This window comes from Homo sapiens, chromosome 1, assembly GCF_000001405.40.
Source record: "Homo sapiens chromosome 1, GRCh38.p14 Primary Assembly".
In the NCBI taxonomy this organism is placed as follows: Eukaryota; Metazoa; Chordata; class Mammalia; order Primates; family Hominidae; genus Homo; species Homo sapiens.
Window position 1 is genome coordinate 231,502,418 of NC_000001.11, and position 27,045 is coordinate 231,529,462.

The 27,045-nt window shown below is 39.2% G+C and overlaps 1 protein-coding gene and 2 long non-coding RNA genes across 10 annotated transcripts in view, besides 6 other annotated features; 2 read left to right on the top strand and 1 right to left on the bottom strand.

The window, feature by feature from the left end:
• Positions 9,261 to 10,460: an enhancer, noted in NCBI's record as "CDK7 strongly-dependent group 2 enhancer chr1:231647424-231648623 (GRCh37/hg19 assembly coordinates)". NCBI's record gives its function as "activates an origin of replication core promoter dependent on BRD2, BRD4, P300/CBP, MED14 and CDK7 cofactors, with strong dependence on CDK7, by STARR-seq in HCT116 cells {active_cell/tissue: HCT116}" and the evidence as "EXISTENCE:reporter gene assay evidence [ECO:0000049][PMID:35650434]".
• Positions 9,772 to 9,861: a silencer, noted in NCBI's record as "silent region_1953". NCBI's record gives its function as "represses an Ori minimal core promoter by ATAC-STARR-seq in GM12878 lymphoblastoid cells {active_cell/tissue: GM12878}" and the evidence as "EXISTENCE:reporter gene assay evidence [ECO:0000049][PMID:35858748]".
• Positions 18,317 to 26,139, bottom strand: TSNAX-DT (TSNAX divergent transcript). The gene is made up of 3 exons (NR_173106.1): positions 26,003 to 26,139; positions 24,921 to 24,998; positions 18,317 to 20,220 (listed from the first exon to the last, which is right to left on the bottom strand). It is a non-coding gene; the product is annotated as a TSNAX divergent transcript (long non-coding RNA).
• Positions 23,546 to 23,840: a silencer, noted in NCBI's record as "tiled region #8140; K562 Repressive non-DNase unmatched - State 23:Low". NCBI's record gives its function as "represses a minimal TATA promoter and a strong SV40 promoter by Sharpr-MPRA in K562 cells {active_cell/tissue: K562}" and the evidence as "EXISTENCE:reporter gene assay evidence [ECO:0000049][PMID:27701403]".
• Positions 25,519 to 26,340: an enhancer, noted in NCBI's record as "NANOG-H3K27ac-H3K4me1 hESC enhancer chr1:231663682-231664503 (GRCh37/hg19 assembly coordinates)". NCBI's record gives its function as "activates a minimal SCP1, AML or CMV promoter by ChIP-STARR-seq in naive H9 embryonic stem cells {active_cell/tissue: H9 hESC(naive)}" and the evidence as "EXISTENCE:reporter gene assay evidence [ECO:0000049][PMID:30033119]".
• Positions 25,519 to 27,008: a biological region, named in NCBI's record as "MED14-independent group 3 enhancer GRCh37_chr1:231663972-231665171".
• Positions 25,809 to 27,008: an enhancer, noted in NCBI's record as "MED14-independent group 3 enhancer chr1:231663972-231665171 (GRCh37/hg19 assembly coordinates)". NCBI's record gives its function as "activates an origin of replication core promoter dependent on BRD2, BRD4, P300/CBP and CDK7 cofactors, and independent of MED14, by STARR-seq in HCT116 cells {active_cell/tissue: HCT116}" and the evidence as "EXISTENCE:reporter gene assay evidence [ECO:0000049][PMID:35650434]".
• The window catches only part of TSNAX-DISC1 (TSNAX-DISC1 readthrough (NMD candidate)), a 512,620-nt gene continuing 511,810 nt past the window's right edge, over positions 26,236 to 27,045 (top strand). For all 8 annotated transcript variants that reach the window (NR_028393.1, NR_028394.1, NR_028395.1 and 5 more), the window contains exons 1-2: positions 26,236 to 26,409; positions 26,838 to 26,942. This is a non-coding gene — a long non-coding RNA (TSNAX-DISC1 readthrough (NMD candidate)). The remainder of the gene's footprint in view (positions 26,410 to 26,837; positions 26,943 to 27,045) is intronic.
• The window catches only part of TSNAX (translin associated factor X), a 37,856-nt gene continuing 37,062 nt past the window's right edge, over positions 26,252 to 27,045 (top strand). The window contains exons 1-2 of the mRNA NM_005999.3: positions 26,252 to 26,409; positions 26,838 to 26,942. Of these exons, the coding sequence (NP_005990.1) occupies positions 26,394 to 26,409; positions 26,838 to 26,942 (121 nt within the window). The 5' untranslated portion in view covers positions 26,252 to 26,393. The remainder of the gene's footprint in view (positions 26,410 to 26,837; positions 26,943 to 27,045) is intronic.

The window sequence follows — 27,045 nt, forward strand, 5'->3', positions numbered from 1 at the left end:
CCCAAAATGGATGTGCCATTTATATCTTCACCAGTAATGTATGAATGTGTATTTTCCCTTCCTCTTAACAGCACTGGGTGTTATCAAACTTTATATTTTTTGCTTATCTGATAAGTATACATAGTATTTTGTTTTAATTTGCATTTCTGTAATTGAGAGTGCACTGTCATTGATTTATTGTCAATTTTTATCTCTTTTTTCAGAGATCCGTCTGGTTATATTTTTGCCCATTTTTCTTTTAACTTTTATTTTCGTTTCAAAGGTCCATGTGCAGGTTTGTTATACAGGTAAACTGCATTTCATGAGGTTTGGTGTACAGATAACTTCATCATCTGGGTAGTACGCATAGTATCTAACAGATTTTTTTTTATTCCTTCCTTCCTCCCAGCCTCCACCTTCAAGTAGGCCCGTGTGTCTGTTGTTCCCCTCCTAGTATCCATGTGTTCTCACTGTTTAGCTCCCATTTAAAAGTGAGAACACTCCGTATTTGGTTTTCTGTTCCTGTGTCAGTTTGTGATATGGTTTGGCTGTGTCTCTGCCTAAATCTTATCTTGAATTGTAGCTCCCATAATTCCCACTTGTTGTGGGAGGGAGCTGGTGGGAGATAATTGAATCATGGGGGTGATTTCCCCCATACTGTTCTCGTGCTAGTGAATAAGTCTCACAAGATCTGATGGTTTTATAAGGGGAAACTCCTTTCACTTGGTTCTCATTCTCTCTTTGCCTGCTGCCAGGTAAGACGTACCTTTCACCTTCTGCCAAGACTGTGAGGATTCTCCAGCCATGTGGAACTGTGAGTCCATTAAACCTCTTTTTCTTTATAAATTACCCAGTCTCAGGTATGTCTTTATCAGCAGCATGAAAATGGACTAATACAGTTTGCTTAGGATAATGGCCTCCAGCTCCATCCATGTTGCTGCAAAGGACATGATCTCATTCTTTTTTATGGCTGCATAGTATTCCATGGTGTATATACAGTACCCTATTTCCTTCACCCAGTCTGCCATTGATGGGCATTTAGGTTGATTCTATGTTTTTGCTATTGTACGTAGTGCTGCAATGAACATATGCATGCAGGTGTCTTTATGGCAGTATATACCCAATAATGGGATTTCTAGGTCAAATGGTAATTCCATTTTTAGTTCTTTGAGGAATTGCCACACTGTTCTACACAATGGCTGAACTAATTTACACTCCCACCAGCCGAATATAAACATTCCCCTTTCTCCACAACCTCACCAGCATTTATTTTTTGACTTTTTAATAATAGCTATTCTGACTGTTGTGAAATGGTATCTCATTGTGATTTTGGTTTGCATTTCTCTAAAGATTTGTGATGCTGGGAATTTTTTCATATGCTTGTTGGCCGCATGTATGTCTTCTTTGGAAAAGTGTTCATGTCCTTTGCCCACTTTTTAATGGGGTTGTTTTTTGCTTGTAAATTTGTTTAATTTCCTTATAGATTCTGGATATTAGACCTTTGTTGGATGCATAGTTTGCCAATATTTTCTCCCACTCTGTAGGCTGACTGTTTACTCTGTTGATTTCTTTTGCTGTGTAGAAGCTTTTAAGTTTAATTAGACCCCATTTGTCAATTTTTGTTGTTGTTGTTGCAACTGCTTTGGCATCTTTGTCACAAAATCTTTGCCAAGTCCTATGTTCAGAATGGTATTTTCTAGGTTATCTTACAGGGTTTGTATGGTTTTACACTTAAGTCTTTAATCCATCTTGAGTTATTTTATTTTATTTTTTTTTTTGAGATAGAGTCTTGCTCTGTTGCCCAGGCTGGAGTGCAGTGGTGTGATCTCGGCTCACTGCAAGTTCCTCCTCCCGGGTTCACGCCATTCTCCTGCCTCTGCCTCCCAAGTAGCTGGGACTACAGGCGCCTGCCACCCACCTGGCTAATTTTTTTGTATTTTTAGTAGAGACGGGGTTTCACCGTGTTAGCCAGGATGGTCTCGATCTCCTGACCTTGTGATCTGCCTGCCTCGGCCTCCCAAAGTGCTGGGATTACAGGCATGAGCCACCGCACCCAGCCGAGTTGATTTTTATATGTAGTATAAAGTAGGGGTCCAGATTCAATCTTCTGCATATGGCTAGCCAGCTATCTCAGCACCATTTTTGAATGGGGAGTCCTTTCTCCATTGCTTGTTTTTGTTAACTTTGTCAAAGATCAGACGGTTGTAGGTGTGTGGCATTATTTCTGGGCTCTCTATTCTGTTCTATTGGTGTATGTGTCTGTTTTGTACCCGTACCATGCTACTTGGGTTACTGTAGCCCTGTAGTATAGTTTGAAGTCAGGTAATGTGATGCCTCCAGTTTTGTTCTTTTTGTTTAGAATCGCCTTGGCTATTTGGGCTCCTTTTTGGTTCCATATAAATTGTAAAATAGTTTTTTCTAATTCTGTGAAAAATGCCATTGGTAGTTTGACAGAAATAGCATGTAATCTGTAAATTGCTTTGGGCAGTATGGCCATTTTAATGATATTGATTCTTCCTATCTATGAGCATAGAATGGTTTTCCATTTGTGTCATCTCTGATTTCTTTGAGCAGTGTTTTGCAGTTCTCATTGTAGAGATGTTTCATCTCCTTGGTTAACTGTATTCCTAGGTATTTTATTATTTTGGTAGTAATTGTGGGTGGGATTGCATTCCTGGTTTGGCTGTTGATTTGGATGTTGTTTGTGTATAGGAATGCTATTGATTTTTGTATGTTGATTTTGTATCCTGAAACTTTACTAAAGTTATCAGATCAAGGAGCTTTTGGACAGAGGTTATGTGGTTTTCTAGATCTAGAATCATATTGCCTATAAACAGTAATAATTTGACTTCCTCTCTTCCTATTTGGATGTCTTTTCTTTCTCTTGCCTGATTGCTCTCACCAGGATTTCCAATACTACGTTGAATAAGAGTGGTGTGAGAGATGGCATCCTTGTCTTATGCCAGCTTTCAAAGGGAATGTTTCCAGCTTTTGCCCATTCAGTATGGTGTTGGCTGTGGGTGGCTATAAATGGCTCTTAATATTTTGAGGTATATTCCTTCAATGCCTAGTTTGTTGAGGGCTTTTCACAGGAAGGGATGTTGAATTTTATCAAACACTTTTGCTGTATCTATTGAGATAATCATGTGGTTTTCGTTTTTAGTTCTGTTTATGTGATGAATCACACTTATTGATTAGCATATGTTGAACCAACTTTGCATCCCAGGGATAGAGCCTACTTGACTATGGCGGATTAGCTTTGAGATGTGCTGCTGGATTTAATTTGCTAGTATTTTGTTGCAAAATTTTGCACCTATGTTCATCAAAGGTATTGGCCTGACGTTTTCTTTTTGTTGTGTCTCTGCCAGGTTTTGGTATCAGAATGATGCTGGCCTCATAGGAAAAACTGGGAATTAGTCCCTGCTCCTCAATTTTTTAGAACAGTTTCAGTAAGAATGGTATCAGCCCTTCTTTATACATCTGGTAGAATTCGGCTGTGAATCCATCTGGTCCTGGGCTTTTTTTTTGGCTGTAGGCTTTTTATTAGCAACTCAATTTCTGAACTCATTATTGGTCTGTTCATGGATTCAGTTTCCAAGTAACTGTATGGTTTTGTGTGATTTTCTTAGTATTGATTTCTATTTTTATTGCACTGTGGTCTGAGAATGTGGTTGTTTCTATTTTTTCAAAATTTCTGAGTATTTTTTATGTCCAGTTGTGTGGCTGATTTTGGAGTATGTGCCATGTTGTGATGAGAAGAATGTGTATTATTCTCACATTCTTTTGGGGTGGAGAGTCCTGTAGCTGTCTATTAGGTCCATTTGGTCGAGTGTTGGCTTCAGGTCCTGAATATCTCTGATAATTATCTGCCTTGATGATCTGTCTAATATGGTCAGTAGGGTGTTGAAGTCTCCCACTTATTGTGTGGGAATCCAAGTCTCTTTGTAGCCTCTAAGAACTTGCTTTATGAGAGATGTGCAAATCTTGTGTTCACTTGGACACATAGAGGCTATTGTAGGTTAGATCTCAGGGGATAGGGAAGCCTGAGGAGAGAGAGATGGGGGCACAGCTGATTGGTAGAGCATACAGAGCACATTCATCAATTAAGTTTGCCATCTTATATGGGTGCTGTTCGTGATGCCCCAAAATAATTACAGTAGTAACATCAAAGATCACTGATAACAGATCACCATAACAGATATAATAATAATGAAAAAGTCTGAAATATTGTGAGAATTACCTTTATCAAGCTTTGGCATGATATTATCCTAATTTTATTAATATATTTAAAGTATTATTTCTTGTGTAAATATCTTTAAAACAGTTCTAAAATAATTTATTATATATAATATTTAAAATTTATAGTAAAAAATGCTGAGGCTAAGGGCATGAATGAAAGTGATGAAATAAGAATGTCACAACATTTTATTGCATTCCAAGAGTAAATGTAATAACTCAGGAATATGTAGCTATATAATACTTCAGTTTACATTCAATTGATATTATGGTCATTCAAAGGATCTGGAATGATTTAAATCCTGGTGAAAAGAAATGGAATGCCATCTCATTGCCTTTCCAATTTCTAACTTTCAGAATTATGTGGGAGGTATGTGGCATATTTATGTATATTAACTCAATATGCATATCTGTAACATAAATTTTCTATATACTGACATGTATGTTCAAAGGCGAGAGAAAAATTTGTGTTCCATTCTTTACTGGAAATCAGAACACATTAAAATAAATGCTTATTAGGTAAATGTTGTAAGTTTAATGGTTTGTTGCAACTATCATTTAAGCATCTCTATGTATCAGACACTTTCCATACATCATCTCACTTAATTAGCATCATTACACAGATGAGGCCCAGAGAGATAAAATTATATGCTTGAAAGCATAAGCTTCAACTCGCTGGCAGTCAGTCCTCAAAAACAGGCTCATTTAACTCCCGAAACTATGCTATTTTGCTCCACATTTTGCTCCACAGTGCTGCCTCTAAATATGTCCTACTCCAATACCAGGACATACTTTGGCTGCTAGGGATCATTTCAAATATCTATATTTGAGTATGGAATGTCTGGGACTATGTGTAAACCGTAACAGCCATAGATTTTCTTGTTATACAGGTACCTGTTAATCACTGAGAACCAAGAAAACTCATTGTGAAATACCAGATATGAGAAACTACATTTTCAGTAGACTTGAAAGCTGCACAAAGTATGGCAGAAACTCATACTTTTACAGGCTTATTTAGGCACTTTCAAAAGAGTGCTGTTAAAAATTAAAGGTATTTCATTTATTCTGACATGCCAGATAGGAGAGCACGTCTGCTTTCTTTCTCAGAGCTCTCAACAGTCTCACCAAAACCAGAGGCAGATTTGAGATTAAGATCAGATGTTCTCCAGGTAACATTAATCTATCCATCACTCAATTCTGAGTCAAAGCAACAGTATGACACAGACTCCTAAACTTGTGTCAGCTCCAACGTGCTCTGAGCCAGGTACAACAGCTTTGCTCCATGCAGTAGCGGGTGGAACCTTTGGACATGAAACTGTCATATTCATAGAAAAGATGCAGGGGAAGTTTCTGCTTGGTTCATGTCATAATAGAATCATTTGTTTTGCCCAAACAAGTTGATTTATTTAGGGATTTATTGGTTTACCCTGGCCAAACACGTTGATCAAACCTGCTCTGAGCCCAGCAGAAATAGGCCATGCAGTTTAACAGTAATAGAGACAAAAATAAAACTTGTTTGAAGTCAGGTAGCTTGACTAATCACGGAAGGAATTTGTTCTACACTTGCACACACCCTTCATCACAACTTGCACTTAGACTCTTTCGTCAATTTAAAATTAAGAATGGCAGAGACTTTCCATTACAGATGGTTTAGTCGGTTCTTTTAAAAGTATCTCATGACAGAGTTAAATATAGATCAAAATCACGTCAATATATAGTTACCAAGTTACGTACAAGCACTATGCTTTAAAGAGAAAAACAACAAAAAAGAAAAAAGGCATCTCCTATATTTAGGGGGTTGGTACAGGTGCTTGGTCTTTCTATGAAGCCCTATTTCAAAGAGTATAAATCCATGGTGCTCTTTTAAGAGACAAACTTAACTTCTAAATAATTATAGCTTTCTAGGTATCTTTCATCCAAAACACAATGTTTGACAATCTAGTTTATTTTTGAAACCGGAGAAGAGAAAAAGGCCTAGAAAATTTGTCTCCTGACAAGAAAGTGACTAGCGCAGTCTGCTGGCTCCATCTCACCAAGTCAGAAATGAAAGCAAAGCAAGGATTTGATGACTCAACATAAAAATCATGAGAAACCTCTGTACAGACTAAAGGATTCATTATCTCGTGTGAGGAAGGGGATGGCCAGCGGAGGCCTCAGCCTGGTGAGGAGAATGGCCTGGGGTGAAGGGCCACTGAAGGAAAAGGCATAAACGTAAGGACCGGCTTTTAAATTCTAACCCTGCTTCTCTCCCACATTGCCCTGGGAAGACCATCATGGAAGCAATCGCTGGCCAGCTGGTATCTCAGGATAATACTAGGGCAGCCTCGAAGGCCTGCGCGGGTGAGGAGAGGTACTGATGAAAACAGAAGCTAACTGATCAGACTTTCTCAAACACTCACACCTGCACTCCCTCCCTCACCAACCACCAAGACTTGCGCATTACACTCTAAGTAGAGTGTCTCTTCCCAGTGCGGGGTCTGTTACTCGAAGAGCAAATCCCTGATCAAAGGAGTTTGTCTGTGTGGTGGCAAGAAGCAGGGCTGAGACCAGCCCCTTCCTGATCCCTGGGGCTCTCTGCCCTGAGGCTCATCTTTTATTACTTTACAGTCACCAAGAGGAACACAAACTAGGCCCTGGGCTTTGGCCCTTCCTAATTGGAAAAACAACAAAACTGAATTGCATACACTACTTGAATTTTGAAAGCAGAATTATTGGTACAGATAGGCTCTGAATTTAAAAATAAGCAACAAATATCCTCACGGAAGATATTAGTAATATGAAGCTGGTACAAAAGGTCAAAGAAAGAACAAGTAGAAATAATAGGTGTGAACAATATAATAAAGAACACAATAGATAATAATAATAACTAGCATTTATATATTATTTACTATGTACCAGGTAATGGTCTATGTGCATTCATATACAGTACCAATACATTTAGCTCCCACGACAATCCTCCAAGGAAGGTACTATTATTATTTGTACTTTTCACATGAAAGAATTGAGGCACAAAGAGGTTAAGTAAATTGCCCAAGGGGAAGCTAGGATTTAAACACAGATATCGTGGTTCTGTGAAACAAATAGCAGATGGATACAGCCAAAGCAGGAATTAGTAAGCAAGATAAATAGAAGGGAGAGGAAGATAAAGGTAAGTGAAATGAAGTGTAGAAGTGCCAACATCTGGAAAATAAGAGAAAAGAAACAAACTAAGGGGATAAAATATTTGAAGCTAATGGTGGTAAATTCTGCAAAATTAAAGATGGAAGTCTCGAGATTTAAAGGGCTCAGAGAAGGCTAAAGAGGAGAGATAAGGAAAAACCTATACCTAGACATAACACAATGAAATGTAAGAATAGCTAAGATACCTGGCTAACACGGTGAAACCCCGTCTCTACTAAAAATACAAAAAATTAGCCGGGCGTGGTGGCGGGTGCCTGTAATCCCAGCTACTTGGGCAGCTGAGGCAGGAGAATGGCGGGAACCCGGGAGGCGGAGCTTGCAGTGAGCCGAGATCGCGCCACTGCACTCCCGCCTGGGCGACAGAGCGAGACTCCGTCTCAAAAAAAAAAAAATAAATAAAATAATAGCTAGGATGAATACAACATTTAAAAGCTTGTTTTTCAAAGAAACAATAATTAGATTGACACATATTTTATCGGATTGTTGGACACAGGAAGATAATGAAGTAATAGAAGTGCTGAAGAAGCATTTTGTGCCTAGAATTTTATATTCAGCCAAACTCTCATTTAAATGTGTGTAATAATAATATTAAAGATAGTCTCGGGCATACAACAGGTTTGTCACACAAAAAGTTATTTAAAAAATATTACTGGAGGCCAGGCATGGTGACTTACGCCTAGTAATCCCAGTACTTTGGGAGGCCGAGGCAGGCAGATAACGAGGTCAGGAATTCATGACCAACCTGGCCAATATGGTGAAACCCCGTCTCTAGTAAAAAATACAGAAATTAGCTGGGCGTAGTGGCGTGCGCCTAGTCCCAGCTACTCAGGAGGCTGAGGCAGGAGAATCGCTTGAGCCTGGGAGGCGGAGGTTACAGTGAGCCCAGATCGTGCCACTGCACTCCAGCCTGGGCAACAGAGTGAGACTCTGTCTCAAAAAAAAAAAAACATTACTGGAGAAGCAGTCAAATGAGAAAAACTCAAGGGAATGCTGCAACAGATCGAAAATATAGAGGATGAATTGATAATTTGATAAAAAAAGGGCAAACATTTTTTGAAAAACATTTTTTAAAACCTCACAGTTAAAATTGTATCTATAAGAAATGTTAGAAGCTAAAGTGCTTGTCTGAGTGGAAGATATAGATGCAGATAAGCCTAAGAAATCAATTCAGTTGGGTTAAGAAAAGGACAATTATCATAAGAAAAAAAGTAACAAAAGGGTAGCACTTAAACCAACAGAAGAAAATTTGATCCAACCAATGAAATATAAGAAAGAAAATTTGATCCAACCAATGAAATATAAAAAGACAGTTGTAGGCTGAGTGCAGTGGCTCATACCTCTAATCCCAGCACTTTGGGAGGCCAAGACGGGTGGATCCCTTACCTGGCCAACAGAGTGAGATCCTTTCTCAAAATCAATAATTAATCAATCAATAAAAAAAAATTTTTAAATAATGAAGTGAAAACTGTTACTAAAGAAAAAGAATTTCATGGTTAAAGGAAAAACAGTTCAGTTTAACAGGAATACACACACACACACACACACACACTTCATGGGCTAATTATTTTGGTGATAAATTCCACCGACATTTCAGGAAGAAGTAATGTTAGTTTTACACAAATTCATCCAGAGAAATAAGATATGGAAAGAAGAACCACTCCCCAATTTGTTCTTATGAAGATACCCAAACTCGAAAAAAGACATCCAAAAAAAAAAAGAGAACAAAGAAAAATTAAGGGACACTTTTTTGTTTTTGGAGACAGGGTTTCATTTCCGTCACCCAGGCTGGAGTGCAGTGGCATGATCTTGGCTCACTGCAGCCTCAACCTCCCTGACTCAAGCCATGCTCCCACCTCAGCCCCCCAGGAGCTGGAACTATAGGCCGAAGACACCACGCAGCTAATTTTTGTATTTTTTGTAGAAACAAGGCTTTGCCATGTTGCCCAAGCTGATCTTGAACTCCTGAGCTCAAGCGTTCTACCCACCTTGGCTCCCAAAGTGCTGGGATTACAGGAGTTAGCCACTGCGCCCGCCAACACTCTCTTTTGTAAAGACAAATGCAAAAATCAAGACTTGTCATAAATTGTATGTCCATAGCCTATACTGTTTAAATTACTTTAACTTTATAGTAAGTCTTGATGTTTAATACAGCAAATGTTAAACCAAGCTTTCACTACAGAAATAAACAGAAATTTATAGGCGCTCATTATCCTTTTAGACAAAGTTGTATTTGCTTTGCTATTGTTTTTGTTTAGGATTTTTGCAACTATTTCACAAACAGAAACAAAAATATTTAAATTGTTAATAGAAATTTCAGTTTTCTTTAGTCTCTGGCTACTCCAAGTACTGTTGCTGTGAATGTTCTTTTATGAGACTCTTGGTGCGTGAATGTACCAAGAGTGAAACTGCTAGGTCATGAGACATGCACAGGTTCAACTTCAACAGATAATGACAAAATGTTTTACAAAGTGATTGAACTTCATTTGCAGAGGTCACATGGGCCTAGATGGTCACAGGTAATGACATTTTGCCATTGTGTACTGTGTGTGGGCTGCTATCTTCTCATCTTGGAATGTAAAACAGGACTCTCTTTTGCTTTCATCTTTTCCTCATGACCAACTCTGTGTTCTCCATAGTTCCCTGTGATTCACTTTGTGGTTACAATTTCTGAATCAGTTAAAGTTCTTGTGCAGCAAGCAATAGAAATGGACTCTAACTTAGGTAATAAGAAAGAATTTATTTGAGGTTCTGACGAGCAACCAGCATCAAAATTAATGATGAACAATGAGTCCTTGGGGAGAACAGGAACCAGTGCAGTTTCAGGGATTTTATCCTTGGGAAGTCAAGCAAATGACTCAGCTACAATCATTTTTCCTCCTAGGGTGTGTCTGTTTTAAAGCCAAATTTCATGAGAGATAATAGATTGATTTAGGATTATATGGCATAGAGAAGAACAAATGCCTAAAGGAAATAATACTGGGCATGGCAAAACAACATATTACATAATATAATAATATAATAACATCTAATAATACATTCTAATATAAGCACTTTTGGAAAAATAAAAAAAAAACAAAATGGGGAAGATAGGAACCTACCATGTCCCACTAACGAAAGATATTCACTGTTATTATTTTTCTAAATAATGTTTCCTCAATAGATTAGGAAAGCTGCCATAGACAATTTGGAACAATTCAAATGTATACAGAAAATTGAAAATGCCAGTAAATATGTAGATATAAACAATCTTTACATTTTGGTGGTATTCATGCCTTCATTAAAAATCTTAAAAGTCGGCCAGGCACAGTGGCTCACGCCTGTAATCCCAGCACTTTGGGAGGCCAAGTCAGGTGGATTACCTGAGGTCAGGAGTTCGAGACCAGCCTCACCAACATGGTGAAACCCTGTCTCTACTAAAAATACAAAAATTAGCTGGGTGTGATGGCACATGCCTGTAATCCCAGCTACTTGGGAGGCTGAGGCAGGAGAATCGCTTGAACCCGGAAGATGGAGGTTGCAGTGAGCCAAGATCGTGCCATTGCACTCCAGCCTGGGCAACAAGAGTGAAACTCCGTCTCAAAAAAAAAAAAAAAAAATCTTAAAGTTAAAAGGTTTTTTTCTGGCTGGGTGCAGTGGCTTACGCCTGTAATCCCAACACTTTGGGTGGCCTAGGTGGGAGGATCACTTGAGGCCAGGAGTTTGAGACCAGCCTGTGCAATATAACGAGTCCCTGTCTCCACAAACAATTTTTTAAAATGAATTAAATTAAAAAAATTTTTAATCACAACCATAATACATGCTGGGTTACACTGCAAAAATATATACAATATAAAGCAAACATCTATAATTCTGACTCTCAGAAAGAATCACTGTTGAAAGTTTTTTTCCATCCTTTCTTTTTATGCATATATTGTTACTATTTTAATGAAAATTGGATTCTATTTTTCTTACATTAAATACTATCTTACTTTTATGCCACTGAACTCTCTTATCTTGAAAGCATCTCCATGTTAGTACATACAGTTCTAACCTCATTCTTTTAACAGCCCTATATTATCCTACTGAATGAATATACCATAATTTGCTGAAATAATCCTACTGATGGACATTTGTTTCAGGTTTTTCACTATTCCTATTTCAGTGAAAAATCCTTGGCCATATATTATGCTGACTTGTGTTTCTGAATCAGTATTTCCATAAAATGCACATATTTAATAGATTGATATCATGGCATAGGTGAACTTACGTCTTGCTTTATAAGTTTGCATATCACAAACTTCTCAAATGTTATCAAAATCTGAATAATTATATTAACTCATAAACCCTGTATTAATATTTCATTTCATACAGGTGTCATGAGTTAATATAATTATTCCCACATTTGAGAGTTTTAAGTTGTTCTCAAGTATGATTAAGAGAAGTAATGCTTCATTGAATATTTCTGTATCTAAAGCTTTATTTGCATCTCAATAATTTTAGGGGAGATTCCTGGGAGTGAAATGGTTGGAACAAATATTAAGAACATTAAAACAAACTTTTTTTATATACTTTAAGTTCTGGGGTACATGTGCAGAACGTCTAGGTTTATTACATTAAAACAAACTTTTAAAAATTTTAGATTCGGGGGTATATGTGCAGATTTGTTACATGGATATATTGGGTAATGGTGAAGTTTGGGCTTCTAGTATACCCATCATCCAAACAGAGAACATTGTATCTAACAGGTAATATTTTAAACTGTCACTCTCCTTCTACCCTTCTACCTTTGGAGTCCCCAGTTTCTATTACTTCCATCTTTATGGCCATGTGTACCCATTGTGTAGCTCCCACTTATAAGAACATGCAGTATTTGATTTTCTGTTTCTGAGTTACTTCACTTAGGATGATGGTCTCCAGCTGCATCCATGTTGCTAAATAGGACATGATTTTATTCTTTTTTTGGCTGCATAGTATTCCGTGGTGTATATGTACCACACTTCCTTTATCCAGTCAACCATTGATGGACACTTAGGTTGATTCTGTGACTTTGCTATCATGAATAGTGCTGCAATAAACATACGAATGCAGGCCTTATTTAATATAATGATTTCTTTTCCTTTGGGTAGATGCTCAGTAGTGGGATTGCTAGGTCAAATGGTAGTTTTATATATGAATTTTTTAAGGCTCTTGACATATATTTACAAATTACTTTGCAAAATGGTTGTAGAATTTGGATTCCATTCACCAATATGTGTGCATGTATTGCTTGAACCCTTATCATTGATTTTATTATTTATTTATTTATATATTTTTTTGAGACGGAGTCTTGCTCTGTCACCCAGGCTGGAGTGCAGTGGCATGATCTCGGCTCACTGCAGCCTCAACCTCCTAGGCTCAAGCAATCCTCTCACCTCAGCCTCCCTAGTAGCTCAACCACCCCACTAATTTTTTAATTATTTGTAGAGACAGGGTCTCACTATGTTGCTTAGGCTGGTCTTGAACTCCTGGGCTCAAGCGGCCTCCTGCATCAGCCTCTCAAAGTGCTGAAATTACAGGTGTGAGCCACTGCACCCAGCAGATTATACTGTTAATATCATTTTCTGTGCATAGCAAAAAACATAAGTATGATTATACTGTACCATTTATTCACTTAGTGTAGTAATATAAAAATTTGCCAATATGTTTCAAGTTCTTGGTAAATTTTTTTTCATATTATACCACATAGACCATGATTTTGATCATGTCTTTATTGTTGATATTTAGACAATTTCTTGATTTGCTGTTACAAATGATGGAACTCTGAACATCTGAAGACATTTAAAAATGTTACTTTAAGTTAGCATGATTCTCTTGATAAGTGGACCAAAGCAAAGTGGACTGAATTCTTGCACAAAGCTGTTGAGCCGACAGCCTCGACATAAGAAATGAGTATGTTCTGGTATCCCTGTGAGGTAAAAGTAAACTACTTCTGATGTTCTTTTCTTATTTATGGAAAGAAAAATGAACCAGTTAGATCAATGGCTATAATTTCAGATGCTGGGGGCTGTGCTGATTTACTTGCGAAAAGAGACTCTACCTAGAACACCTGCAAATGGAATCACTGCCTAATTAACACTCTCACTGTCCAAGACTCATTTTGCACTGGCCAAAGAAGGAAGTGAAACAGGGATGTGCTAAGAATAGTCGTTCCTGTTTCTTACAAGTCTTTGATGATGGTAATAGCCTCACATTTCTCTAGGAATGTAGTATTGCTTTGGCTTTGCCTTTTGATAGGAAGAGCTTCAAAGATTTCCACTTGGTCCTTCCTACAATTATAGTATATATTTCACAGATCAGAAGGTCAAAGTGAAAATTCTGCCAATTGTTGAGGACTTGTATTCCAACTATATATTTATTTATTCAGGAAGTGACAATATAATGGGCTAAGAGTCCCATTGAGCGCACCATGAGGCATACAAAAAACAAAACAACAACCCTGTTCATCACCTAATCCCAATAAACTCCCACACTTACCAGTTGACCATAGTAGCTTCCTGGATCCCAGTTAGTCTGTGCCATAATAACCCTGGTAAATGAACACAAATCCCTAAGTGGAAGCCTAGGAGGATAATTTAAAGAATGCACTAGTGATGTTATTGCTGGTGTCTTCTTCAAGAGTATCTTACCATGCTTTTTCTTCAAAGATCTCTAAGTCCTGAATTTATTCAGGAGGAGAATTAGATGAGGGACAGTGTTGTTCAACCAAGGAGGCTTACGTGAGGCTCTATCTGCTAGGAACTTAGTGGGCAGTTTGGTCCTAGGATCTATGTGATCTAGAACCATTTTGATTATTATTCTTACCCTGCTGTCTATTATAATAACCATGCCCACCTTGCTTTTTAAGTTATTATCCCATAAACCCCATTGAAACCAAAGAGCCCATTTCAATGGCAGAATCAACTATTTGTACCCCCAGACTACTAAAAAGAGTTCTCTTACTGGACATAGTTAGTGATGGCTGAGTAGACATATTTGATAAATCCATTCTAACATTCCCATATTCCTTCCTGTGTTTAGTAGAAAGAAATTTCTTGCAACATTATTACATTTTGTTTTTGGTTACCATTGAGTCCTGTTTTTAGATAATAGAATACATAAACTACTAAAATCACTCCTATCTGCTTGAACGCCTTTCGATAAAGGTGTTCGATCTTAAATGATTCCCCTTTCCCTCGTCTAACACTCTAAGAATGCATTATCGTTGATATTCTTCAGGTTCTTGCCATATAAATAAACAAAATTGTTTTGTTTTATGAGCCTTCTTCTTCAGAGTTTGACTTTATAATTGGCCTTCGTGTGCCTGATGCAATTGGCCCTAATTGTAGATACAAAGGCAAATTAGTAGCGATAGAAATGGGGCATGAGACAATTTGGCCACCTCCTACAAAGTAAGTGTCTGAGGCAAGGTCGTGATAAGATCTTCAAGCAAAACAAGAATAGTCTCACTAGATATGTGGGTTGGGAAATTCCAGCTTGCAAGGAATGTGCAGTGGAGTTTGGAATAATCTGTCACCCAAATTCTCCTCTTTCCTCATTTCAATTCTCAGGGTATTTCAATCTATCCCAATCACTGCACTAATTTTGAATGAGATCTGGTGATGCTGTAAATACAACTTACTCTTCAATTTTACAGTCCACAGGTTCAAATTTTGAGTTTGATTTTGTTACTTCATTTCTGAGGCTAGTAACCTAAACGTTCTCTTAGCAGTTAAAGACAGCCCTTGGTTTTCTGTTTGGAGCCAATAATTTTTATCTTAAGCCTGTCATTATCTTTCTTTAAAGTTTGGCAGCACTTAAGGAACCATGCCACTTGTCCCCCAAAACCTTCCTTCAGGCACTTCATTACAGTTGGCATAGGAAATAACAATAACTCTTTTGCCTCTATATGCTATAATCTACCTGAGAAACACTCTCTTTGAATCCTCAGTGTCTTCAGATCCAACTAAGCTCAATAATCACTTCCTTGAGGATCTGTGCCCTGAAACTCTTCTTCATAACACTTTCTGTACCAATTAAGAGTTTTTCATTGCAACTATACACTCCTTTATAACTAGTTTATCAGAAAAGGAATTTATTCAGGGATTTGAACTGATCTAAATGGAAAAAGTAATTTTGATAAAAGGAAGATGCTGTTTACCCAACTACAACTTTTGAAATCCATTCATGTGACTTTATACATAGAGATTATTCTGAAAATGCAGCTGTTGGCTCCCCCTCTCCCGCAAAAATGGCAAAACAAATTTATGAAGTAAAGTCCACTCCTCATTGCTAATTTCCTTAAAGGCTAACACGCTCCTACCTGACTCTGTTTCCATTAGCATTTAAAAATTTCTATGAAAGTCATCAGTGAGGTCCTTAACTCTCTGTATCTATCAGTTATCTACATGCAGATATCTTTTTCTTTTTGTCTTCTGTTCAATCCAAAGTTTATGATATCTACTCTTGGGCACCTGGAGAGGTTCAACTTCTTAGAAAATTCCTCTTTTGAAGGGAATTTTTATACCACTCAATGGAAACAGAAATAAAAATATCCCAAATGTTACCACAAGCCACTGTTCCCAGAGTTCAAGATCCTCTTAGTTCATTTCTACCCTAGTTCACAGTCAATATTTTCTCCATAATTATGGACAAACAGCAAATGTAACAACCACCATTATACCACAGATACAATTGCATAGTAAAGAAAAGGAAAAAAATATTAATGTAAGATGCAGCAGGCAAAGAAATAGAGGTAGAGCCTATAGCTCTTTGTACAGCTGGTCTTGAGGCTGTAACTGGTATTTTCCTCTCCTACCACCTATTCCTTGTTTTGCCTATCTTTCGTTCACACTGAAGCTGGTTGAAGTTCTTTGCCTGATAAGGCAATGCACACCTTTATTTCTTGGGGCTTGAATCCTTAGTGGTTCTGTCTGTGATGGGTTGCTATAGTCAGCTGATAATTTTCACCACTGCACATGGTATACAACAAAGGACCCCTGGGGATCTCTTGTGATCCAGCTGTACTTCTCCCAGCTTCTATTGTGAAACAGCGATCCTGTTTCCTTTCCTTTTGGTAGCCAAGGTCAGTTAGCAGGTGTCTCCCTGCTGCGAAGCCCCCACTGCCCCGCACAGGGTTTCTTAGTTTCTTAGCTGCTACGCTATTGACATTTTTGGACTGAAAAATTCTTTGTTGTTTGTGGGAGGTTGTCCTGTGCATTGTAAAATGTATCCTTGGCTTTTATTCACTAGATATTAGTAGCAACCCTAGTCCCACTCCCCAGTTATGACAGCTAAAAAGGTCCCCAGACATTGCCAAACATCTTCTGAGAGGAAAATCACCTTTTGCTGAGAACCACTGGGTTAGTGGTTTGAAGATCCCTAAAGGGACAAATGAGGTTCTCAAGCCAGTGTTCCTTCGTGAATGCTCTTCTCCTTTGTTCTATCACTTCTTCACCAGCAAAGCCTATGCTTGGAATGGTGAAGTTCCTTCAAATTGCAGCCATACCAGGACTATTGAAGGGCAATTTACCAGGAGAGTATGAAAGGGGTGATTCATTCAAGGAAGGGATGCTAAGCAGACTTGCATATTAAGCAATAAATTTGTCATGGAAAACTCGAGCTCTATAGAGAGGAAGGAAAAATATCACCATACCCCAATATTAAAAAACATTGTTAATATTTTTCTAAATAATGCTTCCACCTTTATTATAATGTATACTTATTGTAAACAATTTGGAAAACAAAAATGAAAATAACATTTCTCATAATTTTATCATCAGAAAAATACACATTTAACATTAAGATATATTTGCAGCCGGGGGCAGTGACTCACACCTGTAATCCCAGCACTTTGGGAGGCCGAGGCGGGCAGATCACAAGGTCAGGAGATCGAGACCATCCTGGCTAACACGGTGAAACCCTGTCTCTACTAAAAAATACAAAAAATTAGCCGGGCGTGGTGGTGGGCGCCTGTAGTCCCAGCTACACGGGAGGCTGAGGCAGGAGAATGGCCTGAACCTGGGAGGCAGAGCTTGCAGTGAGCTGAGATCACACCACTGCACTCCAGCCTGGGCAACAGAGCGAGACTCCATCTCAAAAAAAAAAAAAAAAAAGATATATTTGCTTTAACCAAAGTTAAAACCTATATATTCTATTGTAAAAGTAATACTTGGTTATTGTCATATCCATGAATTATAGGAATACATACCTTAGAAAGCGAATGTTCTTCCTATTCCTGATCCTCAGATATAACCACTGTTAACATTTTGATGTATTCTTGCCCATATTTTTTTCTACATGTAACACAAATTACATTAAAAAAATTCATGAATAGGTTCTTACTCTAAATATTGTTTTGCAACTTGCCCTTTTTTCTGATATCTTGAATACCTTTTAATGTAGATATGTAAATTTACCTCATTCTTTTGAAAGCCAGTATCGTATTCCACTATGTGAGTATAACCTAATTTATTTAACTAATGTATTGGTGGACATTTAAATAATTTCCAATTTTTAGATGCTATAAATAGTGATGCTAAGAGCATCTAATATATGTGGGTATATAAGGTATTGTTAAAAATAATACAAAACAGTAAAGGCCAGTTGCAAAATATAAGAATATTGTAGAAAGAGGAGGGGAGAGGTATGTGGTTTTCCAGAGATTGAGCCACATTATAAAGTTATAGTAATTAGGCCAATGTGCTATTAGTAGAAGGGTAAGCAAACAGACCACTGGAACAGAACCGGAAACCTAGAGACAGACCCATGTATAAACAGGATATATAACCACTGTGTTGTTACAAATCAGTGGAGAAATGATAAAATATTCAATATGTGGTCCTGGGACAATCATTTACCACTATGTAACACCAATTCCAAGTTGATTAATGATCTAAGTGGAAAAAGAAAAGATTCAAAACTTTTATAAGAAAATACAGGGTAATACTTTTATAATTTTGATATAAGACAGAGTTGATTAAACAAGGCATAAAATATACAAGTTGAAAAGATTGATACATTTGATTATATTAAAGATTTTAGAACTTCCTTTCAACCAAAGTTACTATAACAAAATTAAAAGGCAAGCTACAGATAGGGATAATATATTTGCATAACATTTGTTCATTCACTTGTTCATTCAACAAATATGTATTTTTTTCTTTCTTTCTTTTTTTTTTTTTTTGAGCCAGAGTCTTACTCTGTTGCCCAGGCTGGAGTGGAGTGGCACAATCTTGGCTCACTGCAACCTCCACCTCCCAGATTCAAGTGACTCTCCTGCCACAGCCTCCCAAGTAGCTGGGATTACAGGCACATGCCACCATGCCCAACTACTTTTTGTATTTTTAGTAGAGACATGGTTTCACCATGTTGGCCAGGCTGGTCTCGAACTCCTAACCTAAGGTGATCCACCCGCCTTGGCCTCCCAAAGTGCTGGGATTACAGGTGTGAACCACCGCGCCTGACCTCATTCGACAAATGTGTACTGAGTGTGCAGTATGTGCAGATGCTATCCTAGGCAGTGGAGATACTGCAAAGAATAAAACAGACAATCCTTATTTACGTGGAGTTTACTTTCTGGTGGAAAAGACAATAGGTAAAACAGTAAAATATATTGTATATATGATTTAAAAAAAACATGGAAGGGAGATAGGAAGTGCCAGGAAGGACATGGGTTGCCATTTTAGATAGGATGGCTAGGAAGGTGTGCTAGTTTCCTATTGCTGCCATAACTAAATTATCTCAAACTCAGTTGGCTTAAAATAACACAAATTTATTATCTTACAGTTTTGGAGGTCAGCAGTCAGAAAAGGGACTTATTGGGTTAAAATCAGTGTCCATAAACCTGGGTTTCTTCCTCAGGTTCTAGGGGAGAATTTGTGTCCTGACATTTCCTAGCTTTTAGAGGCTTCTTGCATTCCTTGGATTGTACCCCCCTCCACCTCCACCCCAGCCAGCAATCTCATCACTTGGATCTGTTTTCATTATGACATCTCCTTCTCTCTGTTGCCTCCCCCTTTCACTTATAAGGGCCCTTGTGATTACATTGGGCCCTCCTGGATAATCCAGGATAATCTCCTCCTTAAGATCCTTAAATATAATCACATTTGCAAAGTCACTTTTGCCATTAAGATAACACATTCACAGGTTCTGGGCATAAGGATGTGGACATCTTTGGGGACCATTCTTTGGGGTACTACAGAAGGCCTCAAATGAGAAGGTGACATTTCATGAAGGAAGGACATTTCATGACATTTCTTCATGAAGGAAGAAGGGAGCAAGAAATCTGTGGGAAGAACAATCCAAGCAGACAGAGTAGGTGGTGCAAAGGCCTTGAGGCAGGACCATGCCTAGCCTGTTTCAGAACAGAAAAGAGGACAAAGCAAAGTTAGCAAATAGTAGATAAGAAAAAGGTAATGGAGTGGTGGTGAGGGCCACATTACGTAGGGCCTTGTAACAACTGTGACCTTTACTCTGAGGGAGATGAGAGTCCTTGTAGAGTTTACTTAGTGCAGTGACATTATCTGATATATGTTTTAATGGAATCACTCTGCCTGCTATGTGAAAAATAGCTGAAAGTTAATCAAACTTGAAAGTGGGAGACCAGTGTATTAATTATGTATTGTTGCATAACAAGCTATTCCCAAACTGAAGAACTTTAAAACAACAATTTATTATTTTTCACGATTCTTTGGGTTGACTGGATGGATCCTTTGCTCCATGGTGGGGATTGCTGGGTTCATCATGCAGATGCACTCAGGAGTGAGTTTGGCTGTGACTGGGATGTCCAAGATGGCTTCACTCATGTGTCTGGTGCCTCAGGTGGGTTGTCTGGAAGGAACAGGGGCTGTTTAGGCATCACTTGCGAATGGGTAATCAGACTCCTCACGTGGTGGCTCAAAGTTCCAAGAGAGCTAAAGTAGAAAGTGTCAAGTCTCCTTAAGGGGTAGGCCTGGAACTGGCTCAGCATCATTTCTTCAAATTCTATTGGTCAAAGCAAGTCAAAAGGCCTGCTCAGTTTCAGGGAGAAAATGGACTGCATCTCAATGAGGAGGATTGACATCCGTATATAGTTAGGAGGCTATTGCTCTATTTCAAGTGACAGATGATAGTAACTTGAGTTAAGGTACTAACAGAATTTGGGGAGACTGGTTGTAATATGAATATGTTTTGAAGGTAGATCCAAAAGGATTTTGGTAATAAAAAGTATCTTAGTCTGCTCAGGCTGCCATAACAAAATACCATAGACTAGGTGGCTTAAACAATAAAAGTTTATTTTCTCAACAGCTCAAGACTGGAAGTTGAAGATCAGGGTACCAGCATGGTTGTGTTTTGGTGAGGACTCTCTTCCTGGCTTGTAGATAACTACCTTCTTGCTCTGTCTTCATATAGCCTTTCCTTGGTGTATGGAAAGAGAAAGAGATCTTTTCTTATGAGGCCACCAATCCTAATGGATCAAAACCTTTCCCTGGTGCACGGACAGAGAAAGAGATGTAGCCTTTCCTTGGTGCATGGACAGAGAAAGAGATATTTTCTTGTAAAGCCACCAATCCAATCCTAATGGATCAAAACACCACTCTTATGACCTCATTTAACCTTACTTAACTCCTAAAAGCCCTGTCTCCACATATAGTCACACTAAGGGTTGGGCTTCAACATGAATTTGTGGGGGAGGGTGGCCCAATATGGAATGGGAAACAGAGGAGTCAAAGATGACTCTAGTGTTTAGTCTGACCTGCTGGAAGAATAGAAATTAACTGAAATAGGGAACACTGCTGAAGAAGTAGGTATTGGAAGATGGCTATGTTCAGTTTTAGACACGTTAATTTTGAGAAGCATGTTAGACACTCAAGAGAATATAGTAAATAGGTAATTCGATATGAGTTTGGACTGGATTTATGAGTTTTCTGAACTGAATATATGAAGTGCAGGAATTGTTAGATTATAGATGGCATTTAAAACCATAAGAATGGGATCAACAAGGGAGTAAGTGTAATAGAGAAGAGAGGAGGACTTCTGCAGCAATTCAGTGTTTGGGGAGGTAAGGAGAAACTATAAAGGACTGGGAAGAAGTGGCTACTGAGGTATTATAGAAGGAGAGTCAAGAGAATGTGGTTTCTAGACACAGGGAATGACAACTGTTTTAAATGCTGCTTCAGGGTCAAGTGAGATGAGGAGTTAGAACTGACGATCAGATTTTGCAATGCGGAAGTCATTGCAAAATCCCTAGATTTTGACAAGAGCAGTTTCTGAGAAATGATGGGGTGAAAGCCTGATTAGAGCTAGATCAAGAAGAATGGGAGAAGTAGAGATAGTAAATGTTTGCATCCTGTATGGCACCAATCACATTGTCAGGCATAAACCAGGCACAGAAATATTTGTTGAAATATTGTCAAACCTATAAAGTACTTTACATACTTTTTTGTTATGGAGTATTAAAAATAAACTTAAGCCGGCCAGGCACAGTAGCTCACACCTGTAATCTCAGCATTTTGGGAGGCTAAGGTGGGCAGATCACAAGGTCAGGAGTTCAAGACCAGCCTGGCCAACATGGTGAAACCCCATATCTACTAAAAATACAAAAAAAAAAAAAAATTAGCTGGGCATGGTGGCACACACCTGTAATCCCAGCTACTCAGGAGGCTGAGGCAGAAGAATCGCTTGAACCTGGGAGGCAGAGGTTGCAGTGAGCCAAGATCGTGCCATTGCACTCCAGCCTGGGTGACAGAGCGAGACTGCATCTCAAAAAAATAAATAAATAAAAATAAAAATAAAAATAAACTTAAGCCATATTGTTTAATGCTTTTTCCTAATAACATTGAATTATCTATATATTTACATGTATATAGTAAATTTACATATATATATATACACAATATATTTACAAGACTTGAAAGGAATGTTTCCCAACACTTTTAAAAATTTGTTTTAATAGCTTCATTGAAGTATAATTCACATGTAACTCATCATTTAAACTGACTGATTCAATAATTTTTAGTATATTCACAAATAGGTGAAACCATCACCCTAGTCAATTTTAGAACATTTCCGTCTCCTCACAAAGAAACCCTACATCCTTTAGCTATCACCCCTCCACCTCACTGTTACATGGCCCCTAGCCCTAGGCAACCTTGAATCTACTTTCTATCTATAGATTTGCCTATTTTGGACATTTTATATAAATGGAATCATATAATAAGTGGTCTTTTGTGACTGACTCCTTTCACTCTGCATAATGTTTTTAAGTTTCATCCATGTTGCAGCATGAATAGTACTTCATTCCTTTTTATTGCCAAATGATATATCATTTTGTTTATCCATTTATCTACTGATAGACATTTGGGTTATTTCTACTTTTTGGTTATTGTGAGTAGTGCTGCTATGAACATTTGTGTTCAAGGTATATAGTTAACAGTGGAATTGCTGGGTCATATGGTAATTCTATGTCCAACTCTTTGAGGAACTGCCAAATTGTCTCCTATAGTGGCTGGACCATTTTACATTCCTACCAGCAATTGATCAGGGTTCCAATTTCTTCATATCTTCACCAATTATTATTTTCTGTCTTCTTTTTAAATTTAGTCATCCTAGTGGATTTGAAGTGATATCTCATTGTGGTTTTACCCATCACTCTTTACTTCTTCAATATGAGCTTCTCTTTCTTGTGTTATAAAACTGGAACATCATTTTCTCCTACTACATCCTAGCATTGCTTGAAAAATAAATCTTTGAATTTATTCACAATAAAGGTAATGTGTACACTTCACAATACCACTCTGGATCCCACAGATATCTTTTAAATATTATGGTTATCTTTTAAAAAACAGAAACTCCAGATTCTTACAATTCCCCATGATCTCTTCTACCCCAGGATTTAGTTATTTATGTAATAACTAAATAAGGGAAATGCTGAAATAGATAATCTGTTAATTATCTTCTCTTTACTGGATTATATGATTTTCCTTCAATATCCAAAACCAGTTTTTTTTGTTTGTTTTTGTTTTTGTTTTGAGGTGAAGTCTTGTTCTGTGGCCCAGGCTGGAGGTCAGTGGCGCTATCTTGGCTTACTGCAAACTCCCGCCCTGGGTTCAAGAGATTCTTCTGCCTTAGCCTCTGGGGATTACAGGTGCGTGCCACCACACCCAGATAATTTTTGTATTTTTTAGTAGAGACTGTTTCACCATGTTGGCCAGGCTGGTCTCGAACTCCTGACCTCAAATGATCTGCGCGCCTTGGCCTCCCAAACCAGTTTTGATATGCGATTTTTCTCTTAATCTAATGGTGACCAATGAGAGGATTTATGAACTGAATAACCACCATGCAATTGAAAGGCTTAGTGCTTCATTCAGAGTCAAATATAGGCAATTAGAATGCAACAGGGGGCCAGGCACAGTGGCTCACTGTAATCCCAGCACTTTGGGAGGCCTAGGCAGGTGGATCACTTGAGCCCAGGAGTTTGAGACCAGCCTGGGCAACATGGCGAAACCCCGTCTCCACAAAATGGAGAGAAAAAAAAAATTAGCCGTGCATAGTAGCATGTGCCTGTAGTCCCAACAACCTGGGAGGCTGAGGTGGGAGGATCACTTGAGCCCGAGGAGGTCGAGGCTGTAGTGAGTGAGCCGTGGACTGCAGCCTGGGTGACAGTGAAACCGTGTCAAAAAAAAAAAAAAAAAAAAGCAACAATAACAAGTAAAAACAACATCAGAGGTAAGATCCTACTAAAAATCTTTACCTTCCTCTCCCTGACTTGGGGTGGTTGTCTTCCTTTAAAAAACAAACAAAAAACTGTTTTGCCAAGTACCAAAACTATGTGTTTGCATCTGAAGCAATAAAACAAGGAGACCAGGTAGGGATGCAGGTTGTTACAGAAGTTGAAATCTATTTCCTGACAAAGGAGTAGCTACAAGTTGGAACACCTGGGGAGGCCTGGGGTAAATGCATATGCAAATAAGTGCTGGGAAAGTGCTCCTGGGATTCACCTCCCTTAAATACTTTCAGAAGTCATTACAGGTTATGAAACTTAGTGTTCTAATCATTACATTTATGGGAAAGAGTGGAAAGCAGTTCAGGTAACATAGCTGTAGTTGAACAGGCTAGGGGAGTGGTGGCTGGAGAAAGAAAAGAAATATAGTTGATCCAGGTTTTGGAAAGTTGAGATCTTGGGATGTGCTACTCCAGGAGAGTTAGGAAAAATACCCTTTTCCTCGACTATGGTACAGTACAGTAAGTATTGACTCTGAAAATGTTCGTAAGTACTGGCTTCCTTGGATCTAGAGGGAGTCACATTAAAATGGCTACATTTGTATCAGAGCTGTCTTTTATTCTTTTTGGCATGGTCAAGTCATTTCTAATCAGAGTAGGGGGAATACTGGTAGATCAGACGTCACTCAAACTCATGAGAATTATCTGTTTAACATCCACAAAGCAAGTAGCCCAACAAGCAAGGTCCCCAGGAGCCTACTTTATCCTCAAGGAATCTGCTTAGTCAATTGACGTATTCACAGGGCTGGAGAGGTATGAGTGGTGGTTACCTTCGTGCCAGAGCAGAACATGCCTTGTAGTTACTGCCATATTCTAGCCAAGTTACTCCATTTACTGTTCCTTTGTTCCTAAATTAACAAGGAGAAAAGACTGTGTGTTCAACACATGACCACAATAGAGAGGTTATTTAGAGAAAGCTTAAAATGTACTTGTGTTTTCTGTACTAGGCCTAGGGCACCCCAGTTATGAAGCCTTGGCCTGAGTTTCTCTCTAGACGGTGCTGAATTGCCATCTAGTTACCTATTCTGACACCAGGAACATGATTCTTCAACAAACATTGACGGAAGCTTACATGGGACCGGATCACAGCGCTGAGAAGCACTGGGGCTAAGGGGCGGCACAAAGTCTAGATATGGTGGCAGCACCTGCTCATAATGAAATGCCCACAGTTTAGTGGAACACAGCTGCTATTACTCACCTGTCTATCATTTTGTTTGGGAGAGCCCTGGTGGGAGAGGAGTATGGTATTTAATATTTAATTGAGCAGTTATATGTGAAAGAGCGTTTTCACGAGACTTAACTCCTTTCATCCTCAAATAACCCTACAAGGCGGGTACTATTCTATCCCTATGTTACAGATAAGGAAACTGAGGCAGAGAAGTTGCGTGCTTCATCAAGGTCACACAACCACTCCGTGGAGGCAAGTTGAACACAGGCTGTCCGGCTTCTGAGAGCCAGTGGAGAGGAGGGAGACGGTGGGAGACGGGCAGGGGGAAAAGGTGGAAGTAGACCCGAAGGGCAGGCTTGATCTTCATAAGAGAAAACAGTACTAACACCATCCACTGATTGACTCGCATATTTCCATCACTTAAAGCTCCTGGCGTCACTGCCAGGAATGGAAAGTTAAAAAACTCCCAGCTCTGTAAGGTTCTGCCTGGATCCTGAAAAAAACCTTCCCACATGCCCCGAGGAAACTCGAGGGCTCGCTTCTTTCTCACATCCCTGGCCCGGGGCACCGGAGGTCCCGCTCCGGCGGAGGAACTACAACCCCCACAGCACCGCGCGCGAAGCTGGGCCCCCCTGAGGGAAGGGTAAGGTGTCCCGAAGGTGCCTTCAGAAAAAAATTACGTACGTTTTTCGTCGCTTTCCCACGATCACACAGATCTCAGGTCCAGGAGGACGCATCGTCTTTTTAGTAACAGTGCATGCTGTGAGGCTTGTAGAGTCGCCTCTCTCTTCAGGCGCAGCAGAGGGCGGCCGCAATAGTACGCTCGCGCGGCGGTGGCGGGTGGTGGTCCTTGGACCACGCGGTGGGCGGAGCCAGCGGCGACGGCCTCCCCTCCCCTCCGGACGCAGGCCGGAAGTACGTGAGAGGAGACTTCCGGCCACTGCGTTGTAGTCGGCCCGGCTGCAAAGCGTTTTTCTGCAGGCTGTTTTCCCAGGTTCCCTCGGCCTGTACCTCGCGCACTCCTCTTGCTCCAGGTCCTTCAGTCTCCGCTCGTCTCACCGTAGGCTGTGACGACATGAGCAACAAAGAAGGTGGCGTCCTTAACAACACGGGGCGTTATTTATCCGGAGGGGGAGGTTCTCCAGTCTTTCTATGCAGTTTTCCCCTTTTCACCCTTGAAGGATGCCTTCGTCCCTTGTAGACTCGGGGGCGGCCCCTCTGTTTCTCTCCCCGGCCAGATCGGCCCTGTTTACACCTCCTTTTTTCTTAAATTTTTGAGGTGTGATTTTATCCTAGTTCAGTAATTGCTGTAATGCCAGATCATAGCACCAGTTGGTGGAAACTTGGATGATTTGCTTGGAAAGGCCTGGGCAGCGTCTCTGTCAGTCTGCGGAGAAAGCCTCTAAGGCGAGGGCCCTGTGGGTATCTGGTTTTAAAGCAAGGAGTAGGTTTGTCTATGTTGTGTTTTGCAAACTCTTGGTGATGGAAGATCCCTCTCTTTTTTTCTTCTCTATATAAGGATCAGGAGGGTTCAGGAAAAGGAAGCATGACAATTTCCCACATAACCAAAGAAGAGAAGGGAAGGATGTTAATTCATCTTCACCCGTGATGTTGGCCTTTAAATGTAAGTTCTCTGCAATGTAAGTTGAAGAAGGGGAGAGAACAAAATTATTTAGCCATGGTTATGCGCAAGAAAACAGTCCCTAAGAATTTAATGTGAAACTTTA